Source organism: Homo sapiens, chromosome 2 (assembly GCF_000001405.40).
Source record: "Homo sapiens chromosome 2, GRCh38.p14 Primary Assembly".
Lineage (NCBI taxonomy): Eukaryota > Metazoa > Chordata > Mammalia > Primates > Hominidae > Homo > Homo sapiens.
This window is the reverse complement of record NC_000002.12, coordinates 91,441,294-91,448,470: the sequence shown is the minus strand read 5'-3', so window position 1 is coordinate 91,448,470 and position 7,177 is coordinate 91,441,294. Positions and strand designations below refer to the sequence as shown.

At 48.7% G+C, this 7,177-nt stretch overlaps 1 protein-coding gene across 1 annotated transcript; it reads left to right on the top strand.

The window, feature by feature from the left end:
- The first annotated feature begins 4,369 nt into the window (after positions 1-4,369).
- LOC124905938 (uncharacterized protein FLJ46347-like) lies at positions 4,370-6,415 on the top strand. Its single transcript, XM_047446871.1, has 5 exons — positions 4,370-4,404; positions 4,501-4,586; positions 4,865-5,275; positions 5,742-5,819; positions 6,008-6,415. Exons 2-5 carry the CDS (start codon positions 4,554-4,556, stop codon positions 6,413-6,415), a joined length of 930 nt encoding a protein of 309 aa, XP_047302827.1. The 5' UTR covers positions 4,370-4,404; positions 4,501-4,553.
- Positions 6,416-7,177: the final 762 nt, after the last annotated feature.

Sequence of the window (7,177 nt, the reverse complement as noted above, 5' to 3'; positions counted from 1 at the left end):
CCCGTCACTTTCAGCTACACCAATCAGACGTAGGTTTGGTCTTTTCACATAGTCCCATAATTCCTGGAGGCTTTGTTCATTTCTTCTTATTCTTTTTTCTCTAAACTTCCCTTCTCCCTTCATTTCATTCATTTCATCTTCCATCACTGATACCTTTTCTTCCAGTTGATTGCATTGGCTCCTGAGGCTTCTGCCTTCTTCACGTAGTTCTCGAAACTTGGCTTTCAGCTCCATCAGATCCTTTAAGCATTTGTCTGCATTGGTTATTCCAGTTATACACTCGTCTAATTGTTTTTCAAAGTTTTTAACTTCTTTGCTATTGGTTTGAATTTCCTCCTGTAGCTCACAGTAGTTTGATCATCTGAAGCCTTCTTCTCTCAAATCATCAAAGTTATTCTCTGTCCAGTTTTGTTGCTGGTGAGGAACTGCGTTCCTTTGGAGAAGGAGAGGCACTCTGCTTTTTAGAGTTTCCAGTTTTTCTGTTTTCTCCCTATCTTTGTGGTTTTATCAACTTTTGGTCTTTGATGATGGTGATGTACAGATGGGTTTTTGGTGTGGGTGTCCTTTCTGTTTGTCAGTTTTCCTTCTAACAGACACGACCCTCAGCTGCAGGTCTGTTGGAGTTTTCTAGAGGTCCACGCCAGATCCTGTTTGCCTGGGTATCAGCAGCGGTGGCTGCAGAACAGCGGATTTTCGTGAATCACAAATTCAGCTATCTGATCATTCCTCTGGAAGTTTGGTCTCAGAGGACTACCCGGCCGAGTGAGGTGTCAGTCTGTCCCTACTGGAGGGTGCCTCCCAGTTGGGCTGCTTGGGGTTCAGTGACCCACTTTAGGAGGCAGTCTGCCCATTCTCAGATCTCCAGTTGCGTGCTGGGAGAACCACTACTCTCTTCAAAGTTGTCAGACAGGGACATTTAAGTCTGCAGAGGTTACTGCTGACTTTTTGTGTGTCTGTGCCCTGCCCCCAGAGGTGGAGCCTACAGAGGCAGGCAGGCCTCCTGGAGCTGTTGTGGGCTCCACCCAGTTCCAGCTGCCTGGCTGCTTTGTTTACCTAAGAAAGCCTGGGCAATGGCGGGTCCCACTCCACCAGCCTCGCTGCTGCCTTGCAGTTTGATCTCAGAGTGCTGTGCTAGCAATCAGCAAGACTCCATTGGCATAAGACCCTCTGAGCCAGGTGCGGGACACAATCTCCTGGTGTGCTGTTTTCCAAGCCTGTTGGAAAAGTACAGTATTAGGTTGAGAGTGACCCTATTTTCCAGGTGCAGTCTGTCACCCCTTTCTTTGACTAGGAAAGGGAACTCCCTGACCCCTTGTGCTTTCTGAGTGAGGCAATGCCTCTCCCTGCTTCGGCTCCCACATGGTGCACTGCATCCACTGTCCTGCACCCACTGTTTGGCACTCCCTTAGTGAGATGAACCCGGTACCTCAGATGGAAATGCAGAAATCACCCGTCTTCTGCGTCGCTCACGCTGGGAGCTGTAGACCAGAGCTGTTCCTATTCAGCCATCTTGGCTCCACCCCTCATTTCATTATTTCATCATTTCACTTCATTTTGTCATTTCATTTCATCATTTCATACCATTTCTTCATTTCATCATTTCATCTTTTCATTTCATTTCATCATTTCATTTCATTTCACCATTTCACTTCATCATTTCATTTCAGCATTTCATTTCATTTCCTCATTTCATTTCACCATTTCATCATTTCATTTCATCATTCCATTTCATCATTCCATTTCATCATTTCATCTTTTCATTTCATTTCATCATTTCATTTCATTTCATTTCACCATTTCACTTCATCATTTCATTTCAGCATTTCATTTCATTTCCTCATTTCATTTCACCATTTCATCATTTCATTTCATCATTCCATTTCATCATTTCATCATTTCATTTCATTTCAGCATTTCATTTCATTTCACCATTTCATCTCATCTCATCATTTCATTTCATTTCATCATTTTGTCATTTCATTTCATTTCTTCATTTCATCATTTCGTTTCATCATTTCATCATTTCATTTCATTTCATGTCATCATTTTCATCATTTCATTTCATTTCATTTCGGTGATACATGTATTTAAGTGCTAATGTGATGCCCAGGAGACACCCTATTTCCCTTTGTAAAACACCTCCTTCAACAGAAGTCAACCTCTCATGGCTGGCTAAGTCTACAGGTATACCAGCCTCTCTTCAACCACCCAATTTGATTCAGAACCTCAAACAGCACCTCAGTTTCATAAAAACCTAAAACATAAACACAACACTTGGTTGTAAGTGAGCCAACAGTTTCTTGTCTCTTTCTCTGCTCAAGGCTTAAGGCCGTGTCTACCCAACTATGTTCAGTGGAAGAAAAGATCCCCTGGACAAATAAGTTTGAGAACTGTTTTTGCAGGACTTCTCAGAACCTTTAAAACACAAATCGTCATCCGCAGGGATCTTCAGGAGGGAGATGGCTGATGCAGCACAAATTTCTTTCACAGGAGTATCTTGCAGAATACAGTATGAGACACACAAAGGCTGCATTGAGTCTTTTTAAGGGCCTGGGCCTTTGTGGCATTGGGGTAGGAGCTCTCCAGATAGCATCTAATGAGTAGAAACATTCAGGTTGCGTTTTTTTTCCTTACTGGCAAAACTGTGTGTGCATCATGAATGAAGCCGGTCTCCCTTATCCATATCAAAACTAAACCCCAATTAATTGGCTAAATTGGGACTCAACACCTCCAGGAGCCATGCGGAAGAAAGCCCCACCACACTTTAAAGTAGCTTACCTCATATTTGATGAAAGCAAAACGCTTATGACCAGTGTGCTGCTAATACAAGTCAACAGATAATGCTGTATGAAAAATTATTTTTCCCAATCATAGCTAGCATAGTCCACATTTTGCATTATACTTTCCCCCCCTTTTTTTTAAATTTTAAACACTGGTCCTTTTCTTTCCTTTTTTTAAATATTAATTTAATTATACAAGACAGAGTCTCAGTATGTTGCCAAGGCTGGTCTTCAACTCCTGAGCTCAAGCGATACATCCGTCTCTGCCTCCCAAAGTGCTGAGATTACAGGCCTGAGACACTGTGCCTGGCCTTAAACACAAATCTTAATTCATTCTTACAATTATCCTGAGGTTAGAAAAATGGAAGGGGAAGAAAAATGGCAAGCAGGTAGGCTGACTTCGGCTTCATTATTTGGAAGGACAGTTTGCTCCATTAAAACACACTGCTGCCCACAAAAGCCAAGACAACAGAAACATACAGACATATAAATAGATTTTATATGTGACAGCGGTTTGAATGGAAACTTTTTCAATACAAATGACAAACAGCTGTCCTTGGGAATAAATGACAACGAATTTTTTTATCTCAACACCTGTCCTGAGAGCACGTCTCTACACCTCTACCTGCATTCTGGAGTCAGGGAGAAAGTCAAAACGGACGACAAGACACTAGATCAGCTGTGTCCAACCCTTTGACTACAAGGACTTTTCAGCCTATCTGTGGTGGTGGGTATCATGAAAATTATGCACAAACCTTTTTTTCTTTAAGCTCCTCAGCTATCATTAGCAGTAGTGTATTTTATCTGTGGCCCAGGAGCATTCTTCTTCCAATGTGGCCCTGAGAAGCCAAAAGACTGGACACCTGTGCACTAGATCAAAAGGCTACTCCTTCTGGAAGCAATTGTAAAGAATTTCTGACATTATCTTGACATGAAAACCAATCGATAGTGAGACAGAATGTAAAATCTTCAAGAATTTTTCTTGTTGGTTTTTCTTTTTTGAGTCAAGGTGTTGCTGTGTGGCCCAGGCTGGAATACACTGGTGAGATCACAGCTCAGTGCAGGCTCAAGTGCTCCTCCCTCCTCAGCCACAGTAGTAGGTAGGACTACAGATGTGCACAACCACCCCTGGCTACTATTTTTTTTTTTTTTTTTGTAGAGACGGGGTCTCACTATGTTGTCCAGATTGGTCTCAAACTCCTTGACTCAAGTGATCCAGGACAGGATAACAGGCGTGAGCCACCACACCTGGCCATGTGCATGAACTTTTAAGACAAACACAAGGCCCCACAAAAGTTAAGGTTTTCCCACCTAATTTCCAGGAGATCTTTTGGTGCAAGGATGAGAAACCCTTAAAAGTACACAGAAAACTCCAAAGATTCAAGAGAGTTCATTCGGGCTGAGCCAGCCCACTGGGCAGACTGACCTTCAAACAAGGCCCACCCATGACATACACCAGATGGCTCTCCAAGAATCTCTCTAGTTCTCAGGGTCCCTAAGGTACTGGACAGAGCTAGGGAGGCAAACCCATTTGCTTCTTCCTGCAGGAAACCCCTTGAGGTCAAGACCCCACAATCAGACGAGGATGGAGTGGCTCACCCTCAGTCAACAGGCCAGACTCAAGGTGTTATAATGTCTTAACCAAGGGTGCGGGCCTCCAGGTCTGACTCCCAACTCAGTGCTCCTTTAATAACCACTCTTTGTTAATTCTCCTTAACAGGGGTTCCTGGCAAGTCATTTCTCCCTCAGGCCTTCGGTTTCCTCACCTACAAGATGAGAGGGCTGGACCAGATGGCAATTCAGGGGGTAAGGGGATGTCCGCGTGCAGCCCACCCCGCCCATGGGCCCCTTGAGCATCCATCACAGTTCCCAACACGCAACCGCTCCACAAATCCTGCCCAAGGTGAGGGCTGGTCCCAGGTCCTCCGGCTGCCGCATCAGCGAGTGCAGGAGGGAGGAGAAGCCTCCAAAGGGGCGACGTGGGCTCAAGGATGCAACTCGGCCAGGAGTGAACTGGGGCCCAGATGGAGGTGTCCAGTCTGGTGCTGGAGCCCAGCCCTGGTCCCTGACCCCCTTACCTCCAGGGTCCGTATCTCCTGCTGGGTGAGGTCCTTGGACACAGCGCACTTGGTGCGCAGCCCGCGCAGGCTGCCAACGGAGATGCCGATGAGCTTCTGGAGCTGCCCGCACTGCTGCAGCGCCCGGCTGGCCGCGGCCCCTGTGCCTCCCTACGCGATAGCCGCGTCACCCCCGCCACTGCCCTCCTTCTTCTCTCCCATTGCAGCCGAGCGCAGCGCCGCTCTATGCGGGCTGCAGCAGCCCAGGAGCGGAGCCCTGGGCGCCGGCGTCTAGGCAAGGAACCCCTGATTCGGGAGAGCTGGACCAGGAGCGCCCCTTGGCGCTGCCTTAGTCAGGACGCCGGTAGAGCTGGCAGCCAAGTCTGCGGATCCAGCCCTCAGACCCGCGGCGGTGGGGGCAAAAAACTGCAGCGGTGGGCGCAAAAAGCCGGGGCGGTGGGGGAAAAGGCCAGGGCGACGGGGGCAACAAGCCATGGCGGCGGGGTCAAAAAGCCGCGGTGGCGGAGGCAAAAAGCTGTGGTGGCGGAGGCAAAAAGCTACGGTGATGGGCACAAAAAGCCGTAAAAAGCCGCAGCATTGGGGGCAAAAAGCCGCGACGGCGGGGGCAAAAAGCCGCGGCGGCAAAAAGATGCGGCGGCGGGGGCAGAAAGCGGCTGCGGGGGGAGGGGGGCAAAAAGCAGGGGCGGCAAAAAGCCGCGGCGGGAAAAATCTGCGGCGGCGGGGGAAAAAAGCCGCGGCGGCGGGCACCAAAAGCCCCAAAAAGCGGCGGCGACGGGTGCCAAAAGCCGCAAAAAACCACGGCTGAGGGGGCAAAAAGCCACGGCGGCAAAAAGCCACGACAGCGGGGATATAAAGCCGCAAAAACCCTCGTCGGCAGGGGCAGAAAGCCGCAGCGGCGGGGGTAAAAAGCAACGGGGGCGGGGGCAAAAACCCGCGGCGGCGGGGGCAAAAAGCGGCGGGGGTGATAAAAACCCGCGGCGGCGGGGGCAGGAAGCCGCATACGGGGCAAAACTCCGCGGTGGCAGGTGCAAATAGCCGCAAATAGCCGCGGCGGTGGGGGCAAAAAGCCCGGGCGGTGGGGGCAAGAAGCCGGGGCAGGAGAAACCTGCGGCGACAGGGGAAAAAAGTCGCGGCGGCGGGGGCCAAAAGCCGCGGCGGCAAAAAGCCGCAAAAAGCCGGGGCGGCGGGGGCAAGAAGCCGCGGCGGGAAAAACCTGCGGCGGCGGGGGCGAAAAGCCGTAAAAAGCCACGGCGCCGGGGGCCAAAAGTCATAAAAAGCCGCGGCGGCGGTGGCAAAAAGCCGCGGCGGAAAAAGTCGCGGTGGCGGGGGCAAAAAGCTGCAGCGGCAGGGGGAAAAAAGCCGCAAAAAGCCGCGGCGGTGGGGGGAGAAAGACGCAAAAAGCTGCGGCGGCAAAAAGCCGCGGCTGCGAGGGCAAAGATCCCCAAAAAGCCGCGGCAGCAGGGGCTAAATTCCGCGAGGCCGGGGGCAGAAAGCCGTGGTGGCCGGGGCAGAAAGCAACGGAGGCGGGGGCAAAAAGTCGAGGCGGCGGAGGCATAAAGCCGCAAAAACCCGCAGCAGCGGGGGCAAAAATCCATGGCGGCAAAAAGCCGCGTCGGCGGGGGCAAAGTAGTGGAAATGGGGTAGAAGGCCAGCACAGCTTGGCATTCCTGGAGTGTGATGTGGAAGGAAAAGTGCAGAGGAAGACAAACAAAGATGTAAGTTGGCTTGACTCAGTGCAGCTAAGAACCCAGATGTTATCTTGATGTTATCTATCAGCTAATTTTTTGTAGTTTAGTAGAGAAGGGGTTTTACCACATTGGCCAGGATTGTCTGGATCTCCTGACCTCATGATCCACGCACCTCAGCCTCCCAAAGTGATGGGATTAGAGGCATGAGCCACAAAGTGCTCAAAAAATCTATTAATTAAAAAATGTGTATGTAGCCGTCTTTAATCTACCATGTCCATTAGCAGATAAATACTATAAGCAAAATAGCAACAATGAGAGAAACATAGACTTAGAGTAGATACTCTGATTTATTTAATAAAAATTTGAAAATAGACCAAATTATGATAAAAAAAAATCTGTTGCTATTGAGGATGAGGGTTAGTGTTTGGAAAGGGGCAGGAGAAGTATCACTATTTTTAGTAATGTTCTATTTTCATACATGGTTATAAGCAAATACATGTGTTTCATTAATGAAGCTATCCATATTTAATCATTGTACTTTTCTGCATGTATGATATATGTCAATAAATGTCTTATATACAGCAAAAATAGACAAAACCACAAGAAGACATACACAAATGTTAAACCTAGA